The sequence below is a fragment of the Homo sapiens genome, chromosome 1 (genome assembly GCF_000001405.40).
Source record: "Homo sapiens chromosome 1, GRCh38.p14 Primary Assembly".
NCBI lineage: Eukaryota > Metazoa > Chordata > Mammalia > Primates > Hominidae > Homo > Homo sapiens.
In genome coordinates this window covers 243994670-244011645 of record NC_000001.11, presented here as the reverse complement: position 1 = coordinate 244011645, position 16976 = coordinate 243994670, and the positions used below count along the sequence as shown (strand labels likewise).

Here is a 16976-nt window from a genome sequence, read left to right as displayed (position 1 = left end):
CCAGTAACATTGTTTTAGATCTAATTAGTGCTTATGCAGATCCTTTACAAAAATGTGAAAACTGCACCAGGATGTAATTGTTTAATGAATTTAGTGCAAAGCACATCTGCATAAATTCCATTTTAGCTGAAAAAACTAAGTTCAACTGCTATTTGCTCCAGAGCCAAAACATTGTGAATTGTGCCCACTGTGCTTTAGCCCTGCTCTGCTGGCTTGGATATTTCAAATAAATACTACAAAGTTAAAGCCTCCAGCTGCAGACCAACCCATCTGTAGATGTTTGTTATATTTGGCAGCATTGTAGAATGATTGTGCCTTCCTGCTGGAAAAAAAAAAAAAAAAAAAAAAAAAAAAAAGGGAAGGGGGAAAAAACAAGGTTTTGTCAGCAAAAAAAAAAAAAAAAAAAAGTAAAAGTTTGAAATATTCATTGCTCGACAAAAGTTCTGAATTTGAATCTAGTTTACCTAGCAGTGAGTTTTAAACACCTGTTCACATGGGGTCTACCATGCAAACCAGAATACTACCCTTTTTTCCCAGTTCTCCCCAACATTCCATTTCTGTTAAAAATCACAGAAAATTGAATTGGACACAAGTTTACTAAAATTGGAATTTAAGCACTTCCCTTAACTTTTCAGAGATTTTACTAGTCACTTTTTGTGGTCAGTGTTTAAACACAAAAATCCATAACTTCTATAAAAAGACATAAGTTAATTACGGATACTTACATGATTGTCTGGAAAGGGAACACTTCTCCATTTCTGGTTTTTTGTTTTTCCTTTTTCTTTCAGTTTTGGCTTCTCTGTTTTTTTTTTTGGTGCAGCACAAATAAACTGCCAAACGAATACTGTTTGCTCTATTAAATGGCTCCTGTACAAATAGGGGTGGGGTGGACAGCAGGGCTTGAGGATGGGGACAGTGTGGAGATGTTTGGGCCTGAGTTAGAAGAATTCTGTAAAACGATAAACAACAAATATCATTCTTCAGCATCGAGCGCAATGTTCCAATTTAGCCTGAAACAACCCTGAAAAGTATGCCATCGATGTTCTGATGGAACCAGGAATTGTTGTTCTGTTTCGGTTGGTTATCCACTGTAGATCCATCTAGTCTCAGGCTGTCTTAGGTTAAAGTTCCCTGAAACCAGACTCTGTGGATTCAGAGATGAGCCCGCAGCACACTTAAGTGAGGCGTGTTGGTGAGTCACACCTGTGACGGAGTTAGGGCACAAGAGTGGGTGGAAAGAGATGTTGACTTCTGGTGCACCTGCAGCAGGGGCCTCAGCCAACCACACGGGGTGCTCCGGAGCTGGGATGTCCCTTCAGTGTTGGATGGAATTGAGACATTGGGGCTGAGTCTTTTCACCCCTGCATCCATCAGGCATTGGACATGCCACTGGGGAGGGGTGCAGGCTTGGGTGGGGAGTTCCCTTTGGCTGGGGGACATCTATGAGCTGACTGCAAACCCTCCCAAAGGCTGGGGAAATGGTGCCTGGGTCCTGAGCAGGGATCTGGACTGTAAGTTGCCACATCCACTCTCATATGCTTGAATCTACTTACTCTGTATTAACTATTTCACCCCGTCTGGGAACCATGCCTTCAGGATTCTCTTTTTCTCTTGTCCTGGAGAAACTTCAAAAGGAAGGTTAGTGGGAGGAACTATAGTCCCTGTAGCTATAGCTGGTCTTGACTCTATAACTGCTACCCATCCCCTCACTCCACCTCTACCCATTCCATATTCCCCTCACCTCCAGCTAGCACCTCTGCTGATGCAGGTGGCTTACAGAGTGGGGTGGAGCTGAGCCTCATCCCTAGGACCCTGGTCACCTGTGCTTTCAGGCTGTACATACTGCACTTGTCTGTTTATCATCACAGTTTGCCAAGGGGCACCAATAGACACCAAAACAATATGCATAGCAGGCATATCGTTTCCTGCCCCATTGTATAAATAGCAGCCCTACCTCCTCCTGATGATCAGAGTCAATTATTCCCGCCAGGAGGGAAACTCTTTTCCTTGCCTGATAGTTTCTAGGCACAAGGGTGCTGGAAGACCCAGTGGCAGCTATAGCTTAAAGTTTTTTTTTTGTTTTTTTTTTTTTTTTTTTTTTTTTTTTTTTTTTAGAGATTGGAGGTCTTGCTCTGTCTCCCAGGCTGGAGTGCAGCGGTGCAATCATGGTTCACTGCAGCCTCAAACTCCTGGGCTCAAGGGATCCTCCCTCCTCAGCCTCCAGAGTAGCTGGGACTATAGGTATGCACCACCATGCCTGGCAGCTTAAATTTGTGTGTGTGTGTGTGTGTGTGTGTGTGTGTGTGTGTGTGTGTGTGTGTGTGTGTTTTGAGGTGGTGTCTCACTCTGCTGCCCGCAGGCTGGAGTGCAGTGGCGTGATCACAGCTCACTGGAATCTCCACCTCCCAGGTTCAAGCAATCCTAAGCCTCTCGAGTACCTGGGATTACAGGCGTGCGCCACCACACCTGGCTAATTTTTATATTTTTAGTAGAGACAGGGTTTCATCATGTTGGCCGAGCTGTTCTCAAACTCCTGACCTCAAGTGATCCACCTGCCTCGGCCTCCCAAAGTGCTGGGATTACAGGCATGAGTCACCATGCCTGGCCCCTGGCAGCTTAAAGTTTAATGGGACTCTTGCTCTGCCCCCTGGTTGAAGCATTCCCTTCTCAGAGCAAACCCTCTGACCCCACAGAACCCAGAGCAGAAGAGATGCGAGGCACAGATTCCCTAAGCGGGTCGCTGGGAGGGATGGTGAGCAGGACTGTGCCTCCCTCTGTGTTTTGGTTCCCAGATGTGTGTATTCTACCTACCAGGGACACAGTACCATATAATGGTCACTGACTTACGGTCCTGGAGGATATGCAGAGTATCATCTTCAAGCCAGTGCCTGAACCGATCCTTTACAAGCCTGTTTCATCTCTTCACCAGGCCAGCAGCTTCTGGGAGATAGAATATGGGATAGGAGGAGCAGAGCCCATGGTCCAATGCTCCTGCTGCACCTCCTTTGCTGTAAAGTTGATTGCTTGGTCCCATGCATGTGATGTGGGCTCCCATGTCAGTGGAGCAAATACTCTGTGGGCCTTCACATAGTAGCTTAGGCCCTGTAGGCAGGAAAACTAAACTCATACCTGGTCTATGTATCAATTCTCATCAAGATAAATCATTTCCTCTTCTGGAGTGGAAAGGATGCAAGGAATCAACTCCCTGCTAAGTGGCCGTTTGGTCCCTCTGCGGGATGATGCTCCATCTTGGGCTGCGCATTTGTCTCAGTGACTTGCAGTTTGGACATTCAGAAGCAGTAATGACTAAGTCAGCCTTAGTGAGAGACAGCCCATGCTGCTGAGCCCACACGGACCCTCCATCCCTGAGGTAGCAGCCACCATGTTTATGCACCAGCTGTACCAGCACGTAGGCGGCCATGAGAGAGGCTAGCTGACATGGGCGAGTGAGTCGCTTTATAGCGAAGAAGTTGCAGCAGGGAGCATTTGACCGTGGGCTCTGCTCATCCTGTCACTTATTATATCTCCTAGAAGCTGCTGGCCTGATGGAGAGATGAGATGGGCTTTTAAAGGAGCAGATTAGCTACCGGCTTGAAGATGAAACCCTGCATTCTTGGGACACCATCCTCTAGGACCCTAAGTCAGGGACCATTATGTGGTACTGTGTCCCCATAGGTACAATACATGGGCCACTAGTTTTGTGTTCTATTTGGTTGTTCGGTGCTTCTCCTGTAGTAGATGCCCTCTGGTAGGCATTAAAAGGGGATGCAAGGCCTCTGCCCAGTGTTCTATCCACATGCCTCTTCCCCAGAGTCCTTGTCCCTGATATTCCCATTCTTGCTCCTCCCAGGTCCCTGGCCTAGCCTTTTCCATCACCCATGGATCTCTCTATAGGTCACTTTTTTTCCTCAAAAGTGAATGATAACACAGTCCAAAGCTCCTCCTATTGGGAAGAGGATTTTCCCCTCCCTCTGTCTTTCAAGGACACTCAAAGGAGGGACGGCATGCAGTCACTGTTCACTTTTGGCTTGCACCCGCAAGCAAATCTGACTCTTCCATACACTAAGCTTGGCCTTTTTCTTCCTCCATCAGTTGATCAATAAGAGGCTCTGCAGCCCTCACAGTCATGCAGGTGGTCATCATAAATATGAATGGCATGAGAGGGGCTATGTGGCAGGGGTGGGTGACAGGAGGGTCTGGGCCACCTGCTTATCCAGCTCCCCTGTGTCCACCTGCCCTGCTGATGCTCGATTCTGGATGTGCTACTTCTATCTTATGACGGATTGCTCCTAGGCCCACCTGACCTTATGACTTGATGGGTTGAATAGAACCCACATCATCACAGGCAGTCTGGCCACATGGTCACCTGATGTCCCACGTTCATTTCAACCAAGGCCCATTGGCACGCCAGGAGCTATTCTTTCAAACGGTATATAATTCTCTGCTGCAGATGGCATGGCCTTGCTCCAGAACCCTAGGGGTCTACATTGTGCATCTCCTATTGGGCTTGCCATAAACTCCACATGGCATATTTTCCCACTCAGATACTTCTAATAACAGAAGGTCTGCTGATCATACGGTTCAAGCAGCAGGGCTGCCTGCATCACAACCTAGACCTGACGCAGAGCCCTTTCTTGCTCTGGGCCCCACTCAAAGCTGACAGCCTTCTATGTCACTTGGAAAATGTATCAAAGTCATATTTCCAAGGAGGAAAATGCTACCTTCAGAACCCAAAGAGGCTTACCAGGTGATATGCTGTCCTCTTAGTGAGGGGAAATATGAAATGCAGTCAACTGTTCTTTACTAAATGTTCATAGATATGATAGACACCTCAGTGTTTGTGGGGTTTTCTCACACCCTCTGAAGCACATATGTTAGCAGGTCTCTAATTACTTGCCACATCTTGTTAATGTGAACCTATTAACTTGACGTCATCAAATTAGTGGACCAATGTAATGTTCTTCAAGTGTCCAGACAGTCCAAGTTCCCTTTGGACTAAATTATTGCAAGGAGAAGAGTTGATATATGTTTGGGGAGAGATGGTAAATGTATACTGTCATCCACTCCATGTGAATGTAACCTGCTTCTGGCACTCTGTTCTGACAGGAATAGCAAAGAACACATTTGTCAAACCAAGGCCACACACCATGTACCTGAGGATGTGTTACTACGTTCTAGCAAAAACAACTACAACAACAAAACTGTGTCTGTAATGACATCAGAAATTGGAACTTGGAACTATTACTCGGTTGAGTTTGAGTCTGCATAGTTCACATCCTCCAGAATCTTTCTGGTCTTTGTGGGGCCCAGACTGGTGAATTAAATGGGTACTATGATTAGAACCACTACTCCTAGGCACTTTAAGTCTTTGTGGGTGGCACTAATCTCTACCATTCTCCCTAGGATGCAATATTGATTTCATTTTCATTTACTCTTTTGGCCAGGGTAGAGGGGCAGTTTCAGAGTTTTGTTTGTTTGTTTGTTTTTTGAGACAAGGTCTCACTCTGTCACCCAGACTGGAGTGCAGTGGCATGATCATGGCTTACTGCAGCCTTGACCTCCTGGGCTCAAGTGATCCTCCCACCTCAGCCTCCTGAGTAGCTGAGACTATGGATGCATGCCACCATGCCCAGCTAATTTTGGGGGAGCTTTTTTTTGGTAAAGATGGGGTTTCACCACATTGCCCAGGCTGGTCTCTAACTCCTGAACTCAAGCAATCCACCCACTTGGCCTCCCAAAGTGTTGGGACAGCAGCCGTGGGCCACTGTGTCCGGCCAGAGTTTTCCTACTTAACCTTCACTACTACAGTAGTTATCACTCCACAAACTCACAAACCAAGAAATCAATGTGGGGTTCTGCCAAAGACCAAGTATATCCATTCCGATGATTCACTGAGACTAAGAAAATTACCATTTGGTAGGTTGGAAGACCCAGGGGACCCACTGTGAATCAGTCCAGGTCCAGGTCTTTATTAATCACGTGATGCTCATGTACCCTGTTCTAACAGGAGGAGCATGATGATGCTCCAGATCCTCAGGTATTAATGTGAACACAGACCTTGCATCCAACAATCCTGAACATGTCCGAGTATCCCTCTTCCCCAACCAGATGATTACCTCAGTAAAAGGCTATAGGTTCCTTTGGAGAAATATTGGGCAAATCATCATCATATACAGTTGCTATGGTGATACAGGATCCTTCCTCCTAAGGACCCAGGTTATCCTTCAGTTAATGGATTCCAGGTCTGAAAACTGGCGCACATGTAGAAACTAATAAGGGATCATGATGTTTTAATGGGATGGCCGCCCTTGGCCTCTTGATCACTCATTCTTAATTTCTTTTGAGGTACAGATTGAGCAATACCCTTGTCAGCTGCAATCTATCTTGCTCCTAGAAATACCAAGCTCTATTAACCATTACCATAGCTCTCTGCAGAGCACCCCTTCCCAACTCTATCCTAGATGCCCATTATAATAATTGTACCCACCTTGATTCTGCTGGTTAAATCTATTGTTTTGGAATCTTTTCATCCTCATTGCTATCAGGAAGCCCAGTTCTGTAACAACATCTCCCACCATCAGTCCCTGCCTGCAGAGGACAACCAATAGTGAGCTTCTCCACCATATCAGAAGCCCCTTTTATCAATAGATTCCATATTGCTTTGGAGGGGATGTTTTAGGATCCCTTAGAGTACTGGATCCCTATATATTCGTTGACAAATCAGAGAAGTACAGGTGCCCCCATAGTTTCTCTCTGTGTGTCTCTCTCTCCTCTCTTCAGCTACACACACAGATACACATGCACAAATGCACTCAGGCACACACACATGTGGATCAGGATCCTCATGGGATTTCTCTCACTTTCTGTAGCATGATCAGAGGCCTCTCATGTAATATAGTCAGCTGGTAGATTTTCTGGATTGAATAGTATTCCCAGTCTAGCATGCCCACTTATCTGAGCCTTTCGATCTCTTCCTCCATCATTTTCCACAGAAGTTCTAGTAGTCCTGGTAGCTCATCACTCTTGCTATACTTCTGAGTACCAACCTAACAGTGTATTCCCAGAGTATAATCTCCCAGGTCCTTGCCAGGATGTATAATTCTATAGCATGGGAGAGACTTCCCATATCAACAAACTCCGTTGTCCGACTTTATAATCCTTTCCCTCTTGATCTAGCACTTTCAGGACCCAGCCCCATACATACGTTCCCAACTTTTGCTGTTGTATGTTTGCTAGTTCCTACAGATTCTTCAACATATAGTTCCCTTCTTCCCTCACCAGGCCCAACATTTCCCCAACCAGGTTATGCTCTGACTTGGTCCTAGTGGTTGATCTGACAGGGAGTGGATGTTGGGGCAGATCCTGAGGTGGAGAGGGGCATGTGTTGCCTTGCAAGGTGAAGACCTCCTCATCATTCTCATGGAAGTGGGGGTGGGGGTGCTAGCCTCTAACAGGGAGGAGTGGGCCACTTCTGCAGGCCCGAGGACTGCGGAGAACCCAGCTTTTCAGGGCTCACGCAAGAGTGATCAACCCAGATATCCCCATCCCAAGGCTCAGAGTCCCACTTCTTCCCAACCAGGGCCATGATTTGGGTGGAGAATTTGCTGGGATTGAGGATCCCATCTTCTCTGGAGCTCCACTAACCTTATAATTGAGTCCTAGGCATGATCCTCAATTTATTTATTCTTATTATTTGCCTCTGACTTCAGGAGATGGGGAACTCTTCATGTGCTGCCAAGGAGGTCCTCCAACTCTCACACTTTGCCTTAAATTAGTGGTTATTCACTCGCAGCCTTTCATTGTCTTTCTCCAGTGTATTGGTGTCACTCAGAAAGAGCTATCTGATGTCACTGTACTTTTCATTACTATTCCTCTCCATACCCTAAACTCAAGCACCTGAGGACACCTCAATTCATCACTGGCGAATGTTAATAACTGCCCACTAACTATGCCAGGGGATTGTGGATGATCTAATTCCCAAAGTCCATTTCAGAGTAGGCACACTTAGACCTGCCCCCTGGCACTAACTGTCTTACACCGGGTGATAGATCTGAGACACATTTCCATACAAGAAGGGCCTTAGGGAGCATCTGAAGAACAATACTTGGGAGAGACTGAGGGGAGAGCAGGATTCTCAAGCCTCACCTTGGCAATCAGGCACCTGCCGATTCCTAGCACCTCCCGTCTCTTTAAGTTGTCCTAACACCTTCATCTTGCACCCTTTGTAGAGATGATCCAGGCTTCTGTGGTTCTAAAGCAGCTTCTAGATGAGGTAGAGATTAAATCACTTTGGCTCAAAACATTATCCTTTCAAATCAGACAAGTACAGGTGCCCCCATAGTTTCTCTCTCTGTGTCTCTCTCTCCTCTCTTCAGCCACACACACAGGCACACATGCACACAGGCACACACACATATGCATGCATGAATGTGTGCACAAGCACAACACACACACACACACACACTTGCACACATACACTCCTCCCAGAACAAGTTCATCAGCTATTATAAAACTCATGTCCACACCATCGCTTCTCTAGAGATTTGGGTGAGAAAAAGAGGCACAGAAGGCTCTGAAATGATCATTAGATAGCGGTTTCTTTGCTTGTTTTATTGTTGGCTTATTATCTACATTGGCAGATAAAGGGAAGAAGTAAGCAGTGTGGGGGCTGGGAGGAAGCACCAATTTTCCCCCAGGGGTTGTCTTGAGTCCATATTCCTTCCCCCAATTCAGCTTACACTCTTCGCCAGGAAATAATGTGGTTTTAAGTCTCTTCCTCTGTTTTTGTTTGGTTTTGCTTCTTGAACAAAGTCTCCTTGATATACCCCTTCTCAGGAGTGTAGCCAGGCTTCCAAACCTGTTGGATTTATTTTACCATAGGACTCACCACTCTCTGACAAGTACATTTGTAGAATCTAGATCTTTAGTTCACTCTTATTCTCACTTGTTTTTCTTTCTTTCTTTTTTCGTTCTTTTTTTTTTCCTTTTCTTGGTTTTAGGAAAAAAAGCAACTGTGGTTACTGTCAATGTTTATTCTCACTTGAAGATATAAAAGGTTTACCTATTTTATTTTGAAGGATTTTCTCCTCTCCTGCCTCTGAAAACAAGACTGTGGGACCCAGATTACTGATCATAATTATTTACAAAAATTATTCCATAACCTATTAGAAACCACATTACTGCAAGTAGAAAATCTAGCATCTTAATAACATATATTACCATTTAGAGAGAGTGAGAGTGACAGAATGCAGTAGCATAATAGGGCTGGAGCACTGGAAAAATGTTTAGGACTCTGATGAAGGGTCTGTTATATAGGCACTTGTCATCTACACTTTTCTGATGAAAAGCAGGGGGGAAATGACTTTCCTTAGCAGAGCTCCATATGAGCCCTGAAAATAGAGCACAGATATGAGAGCACTGCAAATAAGTGCCTCCAAACTAACCCAAAGCAGGGAACTGAGCCAAGCAGCTTTCTCTATTCATGTTGAGAGATGGGAAGAGTTACAGTGAGTAGCAAAGCCATTAGGCAACCACTGGAAAGAAAAGAGAAAAAGAATATGCCCGCAGCTTAATATAGAATATCTAAGCATTAACCTTCAAAAAGACTCACACAAGTTGGAGAAATGGACACACAAAGAGGATGGGGTTTAACAGGGACTGGAGTGGTGTGTCCAACCTGGGGAAGCAGATACAACCACAACCCTTCCAAGTAGGAAGGTCATTTGCTTTGCTTCAGCTTGCACAGCAGCGTGGCCAGTTCCTCAGCCCCTTCTTAGGGGCTGGAAGAGCCCAGTTGGTTCAGATGTCCCCACTATGAGACCCAAGGGAACTCCTGTTCCTGTCAGATGCTGGGGTCATCTTATTCCCTTGTCAGTGATGGTTCAGGAGCAGATACGGCACCGGTTCTATCCAGCGGTCTCGAGGGGAGACCTCCTGGGGCCTTCTAGGGGAAGGACCTTCACACTTACAAAGAAACATAATGAAAAATGGTTTCTGCCTCCTGTCGGATGTTGTTGTGCCTGCCTGTGTCCTGGTAAGTGCAGTGGTTCTGTTACAACCATGAGACCCACTAACTGAGATCAGCCCACATCAGGTGAGCAGAGCAGGCAGGCGGAAAGCACCTGAGCTTCCAGGATTGCTTCTCTGCTTAATCAACTGACTCTGGCCATGTCCTGTGAGTATTCTCTTTTAGGTAAAATAAGACTTTTTTAAAACTACATTTGTCTGGGCATGGTGGTTCACACCTGTAACCCCAGCACTTTGGGAGGCTGAGGTAGAAGGATTGCTTGAGCCCAGGAGTTCGAGACCAGCCCGGGCAACATAGCAAGACCTCACCTCTACAAAACATTTTAAAAATTAAAAAATTAGCCAGACGTGGTGATGCACACCTGTAGTCCCAACTTCTCAAGAGGCTGAGGTGGGAGGATCACTTGAGCCCAGGAGTTCAAGGCTACAGTGAGCCATGATCCTGCCACTGCACTCCAGCCTGGGTGATAGAGTGGGATCTTGTCTCAAAAAAAAAAAATTTCACTTTTTTTTAAGAACAGTTTTAGATATACAGAAAAATCGAGAAGATGTATAGCAAGTTCCCATGTATCCCTCACCCAGATTCCCTATTGTTAACATCTTGCATTAGTATGGTACATTTGTTACAATTAACAAATGTACCAATATACTGGATATATTATTACTAACTAAGGCCCAGAGTGTATTCAGATATCCTTAGCTTTGCCTAACGTTCCATTCCAGGATCCCACCCAGAACACCACATTACATTTAGTTGTCATGATACCTTAGGCTACTCTGGGTTGCGATAGCTTCTCAGATTTACCTTGACAGTTGAGGAGTAACGGTGATGTATTTTGTAGGATACCTCTCTATTGGGATTTGTCTGATGTTTCTCTCACAATTATACCGGGGTTATGGGGTTTGGAGGAGGAAGACCACAGAGGTAAAGTGCCATTTTCATCACATATCAAGGGTACACACTTTCAACATGATTTATCACTGCTGATACTGACCTTGACCTCCTGCCTGGGGTAGTGTTTGTGAGGTTTCTCCACTATCAATTTACTCTTCCCCCCACCCCTCTCTATACTGTATTCTTGAGATAGAAGTCACTATGGGCAGCCCAACCTGAAGGAGCGGGAAGCGTGGTCCACCTCCTTGAGGGCAGGGTATTTACATAAATTATTTGGAATTCTTCTGCAAGGATTTGTCTTTTCTCCCCGATTTATTGACTTATTTATGCAATCATTTATTTATATCAGTATGGATTCATGGATATTTATTTTATACTTTATGTTGCAATCCAATACTACTTATTTTGTTGTTAAAATTCTTCCAAGTTTGGCTGTTGGGAGAGATACTATTTTTTTTTACAGTTATAGTCAGTTGGGTTTTCAGGTTTTTGTAGACAGAAAATTCCCAATTGATATAGCTTCCCCCAAAGAAGAGTTTGCTAGATCATAAGTTTGCAATAAGTTAGTAGGGTAATGCTTTAAAATTTTTTAGCAAGGTATACACAAACAAGAACATTGCATGAAAACTCTACATTCACCCTTCTTTCTGAACTGCTTGACCCAATCTAATTAGAAAAAAACCAAACAGATCATCATAGTCAGAAAATGAAAACTGGTCTTTGATCTCCTACTAATTGGCTGAGTGGCATCATAAATACAGTGATCAAATTAACAAAACCAAAAACTGGGACACCATAGTCAACTACACTATAAATATTCAATCACCTGTGTAGTTACCATTGGTGACGAATCACTTTTGTTAAAAAATAAAATAAAATCATAGGAAAAATAAAACCACTCACACAATTCAGTGAAAATCCATGTCATCCCTTGCCATACTTTAATATTTGATGTGGCCGGGCGCAGTGGCTCACGCCTGTAATCCCAGCACTTTGGGAGGCCGAGGCAGGTGGATCACGAAGTCAGGAGTTCAAGACCAGCCTGGCCAAGATGGTGAAGCCCCATCTCTACTAAAAATACAAAAATTAGCCGGGCATAGTGGCATGCACCTTTAGTCCCAGCTACTCGGGAGGCTGAGGCAGAGAATTGCTTGAACCTGGGAGGTGGAGGTTGCAGTGAGCCAAGATCACACCATTGCACTCCAGCCTGGGTGACAGAGCGAGACTCCGTCTGAAAAAAAAAAATTGATGTCCAGATGTCTTTGGAGACGCTCATATGTCTGATCACCCAGTGTCATCAAGCAAACCTCTGAGCCTTACTGACAAGTCTTCAAATCTGTTAAAAAAGGGACAATATTTCACTACTGGAGCCACAGGGTTTATTTGTAAAATTTAAAATGAAATGATAACTGCAAAAATGTTTAAAAAACTTAAGTACTATCAAAAAGCAAGGTGTAATTCAACACTATTAACTCCCGATTACACACACTTGTGGACCAATTGGAGGATGATCTAACTGAGCACATGCCACTTCTTCAGTCCTGTTCACAGCATTGGAAATCCCAGACACACCACATTTTTTGTGGTTAAATCAAATAAAAATGAACATCAAGAGCAGCTGAGAAGAAAACAAATCAGGGCATGACAGTTCTGTGTGTGTGTGTGTGTGTGTGTGTGTGTGTGTGTGTGTGTAGTCTGGATGTGGATGTGTATATTTTTGTGTGTGGATGTGTGCGTGTCTCCCTGTGTGTCTATGTGTGGATGCATGTATCTATGTGTCTGTGTGTGTGAATGTATGCAGATGTGTATGTGTCTATGTGTGTCTGTGTGTGTATGTGTGTAAGTGAATGTATGTTTCTGTGTGTGGGTGTGTGTGTCACCATATGTGTGAATGTGTCTCTGTTTGTATGTGAATGTGTCTCTATGTCTGGATATGTGTGTGTCTATGTGTGTATGTGAGTCTTTGTGTGGATGTGTGTATGTCTGTGTGTGTCTACGTGTGTGTGCTGTGTGGGGGTAACATGGGGTACACAGGATGAGCCTGCATCTAGCCTCTCCTGGTGTTGACAATGGTGGCAGTGGTGCTGGATTAAGAAGGGCGGAGGGAAAAGTACCAAGTGATTAGAAGGGGAAGTGGACAGATGGAGCGCGGAATCCAGGTGGCTCTCTGAAGGGCAGAACCACCTCTTTACTGACCACCAACTACCTCCTCAGTCTCTGTCCACAGGCCAGTGGCAAAGCTCCACCAAGAGAAATTGGTCCCAATTCACTCTTTCCTAGGAAGAGCTCTGGTCCCAGTGCCTGAAATAACCAGCAGGGGAGAAGCAGGACCCTCGTCATTAGATACTTACCAGGTTACTACTGCAACTTGTAAAACTCTGGCCCAACTACTAAGGAGGTGAGGGGAAGAGTAAGAATTAGTATGGCCTAGGCTGGGCGCGGTGGCTCACGCCTGTAATCCCAGCATTTTGGGAGGCCGAGGCGGGCGAATCACGAGGTGAAGAGATCGAGACCCTCCTGGCCAACATGATGAAACCCCGTCTCTACTAAAAATACAAAAATTAGCTGGGCCTGGTGGCACACGCCTGTGGGCCCAGCTACTTGAGAGGCTGAAGCAGGAGAATCGCTTGAACCCCGGAGGCAGAGGTTGCAGTGAGCTGAGATGGCGCTATTGCACTCTAGCCTGGGCAACAGAGCGAGACTCTGTCTTAAAAATAAAAAAATAAAAAAAAAGAGTATGGCCTAATCAGATTTTAATGGAAGTAACTTTAGTGAAAGCATGGAGCAATCATGAGTAAAAGAATTTCTAGTGTCTGTGGGACGTGTACAGGCTTTGGGTCTTAAAATTTTTAAATAATTGACTATTTCTAAAACTGCAACATTTCACACTAAAACCTAGATCTCTGGTTTCTCTTGGAAGTGTACCTTCTGGCAATCTTGCCGCTGATCATCTCTTATGGGGACTCTTAGCTGGCGCTAAATGGTGGCAACCTTCTCCTTAGTCTAGTATCTCTGGTTTCCAGAGTTCCCATATACTCTTTGCTTCCTTTCTGTCATTCCCAACCTATTTACTCATTTAAAATACCCTATCTGACCTCAGCATTTTGAGTTTACAGTCTCTGCTCTATGGAGGAGAAGAAAGAAAATAAGGAGAGGTCAGAGGGACAGGCATTAAGATTTCAGATTTCACCAAGGAAACTGGGCTCATGGAAGAAGGTGAAAGGCTAAAAAAAGGAAAAGAGTCTTTTAAAAGATAAAATATATTAAATGAATAACACAAGTTAGATATTGGGAAACCATCCTGACTAAAGATTTCTGAGGCCGGGAATGGTGGCTCATGCCTGCAATCCCAGCACTTTGGGAGGCCGAGGCTGGTGGATCACCTGAGGTCTGGAGTTCAAGACCAGCCTTGGCGACATGGTGAAACCCCGTCTCTACTAAAAATACAAAAAATTAGCTGGGCATGGTGGCAGATGCCTATAATCCCAGCTACTAGGGAGGCTGAGGCAGGAGAATTACTTGAACCCGGGAGGTGGAGGTTGTGGTGAGCCGAGATCATGCCATTGCACTCCAGCCTGGGCAACAAGAGTGAAACTCCATCTCAAAAAAAAAAAAAAAAAAAGATCTCTGAGAAAAAAATTTTGGGGAAATCCAAAAACTATCTTTCTGTGGTGTGGAAACAAAACTACCATAAAAAAATGAACTGGGTTTTCTTTATCATGAAGGACTTTGAAAAGCACATATTTACAAAGGGTTAATTATGCTCAGAAATCCAGGAAACTCTGGAATAATTCCCCCTACGTTAGGATATTATAAAAAAAAAGTTTTAAAATTACCCTGAGACCATTTTCCTATACACAGTTCAATAGCAGATTCAAATCAATCCATTTGGTGTGTATTTTCCCATCTTTAAAAAAGTGACTGAATGCAAATTCTAGGTGTTAGAATTTAAAAGAAAAAACATAAAGAGGGAAATGAGCTTATATGGAGGTGTCTAAGTAAAATAGCACCATTTGATTTAAAATATTCCACATATGCCCCCCCAGAACTCTTAATATTTGAGAATAAAATTAGTGCATATGAACCAGAGACTCATGTGGCCAGAGAGGCTCACAGTGAAATCAGCAAGAAACTGCTTATTCAGCCTCTTCCAACAAAAATGAATTGTTTTGATGAATGAGAATTCTTTAATGAATTACCATATGACATGCCAGTAATTTTTTTAATGTCAAGCAGAGAAAGTTTTTATTTGTCTTTTGTTCAGCCACAGCTACTTAAAAATAATAGAAGGTCATGGCCAGAGACAACACTTTCATTATGGCCCTTGAGAGACAGGATGTGCCTACACTGAACCCAAAGGGAAGGGGATGGGGTGGGTAGAGTTCCTGAATTTCCAACTCTTGGCCTTGTCCTTGTTTTTCTATGTAGAGATGTGTGGTGGTGTTTTATGAATCCAGTGGATGACATTTGGATTCCAGCAGAATCATGTTCAGTTTCTTTCTTTTTAGTTTTCAAAAAATTTTGTGGGTACGTAGTAGGAATCACATCATGGAAAATGGGGCATTCATCTCTTCACGTACTTATCCTTTGTGTTACAAACAATCTAATTATACTCTTTCAGTTATTTTAAAATGTACAATTAAGTTATTATGGACTATAGTAACCGTGTTGTACAATCAAAGAGCAGCATGTCTTATTAATTCTATTTTTTAATGTACCCATTAGCCATCCATATCCAGATTTCATACATTCTACTCTGTCAGCAGAAGTGCTGGGTTGTCACATTTGAGACTCTAGGCATATGGTCGGGGATAGCGTGTGGACAACTTGTGGGATGTTGCCTGAGTGGGGGTGGCTATTAAGGTCAGAGTTGGAAATGAGAACAGGAGGGTACCCGAGGGTCACAGTGAAGTGGCACCCAAGGGCCACTCTGTTATCACTACACTCACACTTCTGACACCAAAGGAAGGAGGGTTATCCCACACCCACCAGTCCTTCAAGTCTTGGTGAACACTGCATGTGTTACAGTTTAACTCAATTCTGATGCTAACTTCCTGGAGTTGGTATCGACCCCTTAGGTTAAGGACTCAGTCCCACAATAAGACAAACTATCTGACTGCACAACAGGGTGATTATAGTTGATAACTTCATCATACATTTAAAAATATATGTACGCCACCAATACGTATCCCCACAGCAGACGCCGGTCACTAACCCCATCTGGTCTTGGCCTCCCAAACTTCTGACTGACTGACTATAAATCAGCTGTTGCCCTGATTCCCCTCCTTGGGTTTGATAATTTGCTAGAATGGTTGACAAAACTCAGGGAAATATTTACTTATGTTTACTAGTTTATTATAAAGGATACAACTCAAGAATAGCCAAATGGGGGAGATGCATTGGGCAAGGGATAGGAAAAAGGGCACAGAACTTTCATGCCCTCTCTGGGCACACTTTCCTCTCAGCAATTCCATGGGTTCACCGACCCAGAAGCTCTCCAAACCCCATTGTTTAGGGTTTTTATAGAGGTTCCATTACCTTCATTATGTAAGCATGATTGATTGATAAAATCTTTGGCCCTTGTTGATTAAGTCAATATCTAGCTCCTTTCCTTTTCCTGGGTGGCGGGGCTAAAAGCTTCAACCTCTAATCACACGGTTCCCCTGGAAACCAGCCTTCATCCTTAGGGGTTTCATAGAGGTCACCTCATTAACATAAACTAAGGTGTGGCTGAAAGGGACTTGTTATGAGTAACAAAAGACGCTCCTCTTACCCCTAACACAATGGAAATTCCAAGCGTTTTAGGAACTCTGCGCCAGGAACTGGGGACAAAAAACAAATATATACTTTTCATTATATCACAGTGTTATGCACGGCAAGGGTACAAATGGAAGAGCACCATCAAAACCGAAGGTCTGGAGCTAAGAGGGCAACATGCACCTGAGATGCCCGACAGGAACTTCCCAAGGGCTCCAATGAGCCAGGACTCAGCATGTGGAAAGACACAGCACTGGCAGATTTGCAAGGAGCACCCCTCTCAGGCCTCACCTTTGAA

The 16976-nt window shown here is 44.3% G+C and overlaps 1 long non-coding RNA gene across 1 annotated transcript in view; it reads right to left on the bottom strand.

Moving 5' to 3' along the window:
• Window positions 1-16976, bottom strand: part of LINC02774 (long intergenic non-protein coding RNA 2774) — a 129916-nt gene that overhangs the window by 35672 nt on the left and 77268 nt on the right. The window contains exons 3-6 of the long non-coding RNA NR_033883.1: window positions 8146-8263; window positions 6488-6588; window positions 1554-1625; window positions 726-949 (exon numbers count right to left, since the gene is read on the bottom strand). This is a non-coding gene — a long non-coding RNA (long intergenic non-protein coding RNA 2774). The remainder of the gene's footprint in view (window positions 1-725; window positions 950-1553; window positions 1626-6487; window positions 6589-8145; window positions 8264-16976) is intronic.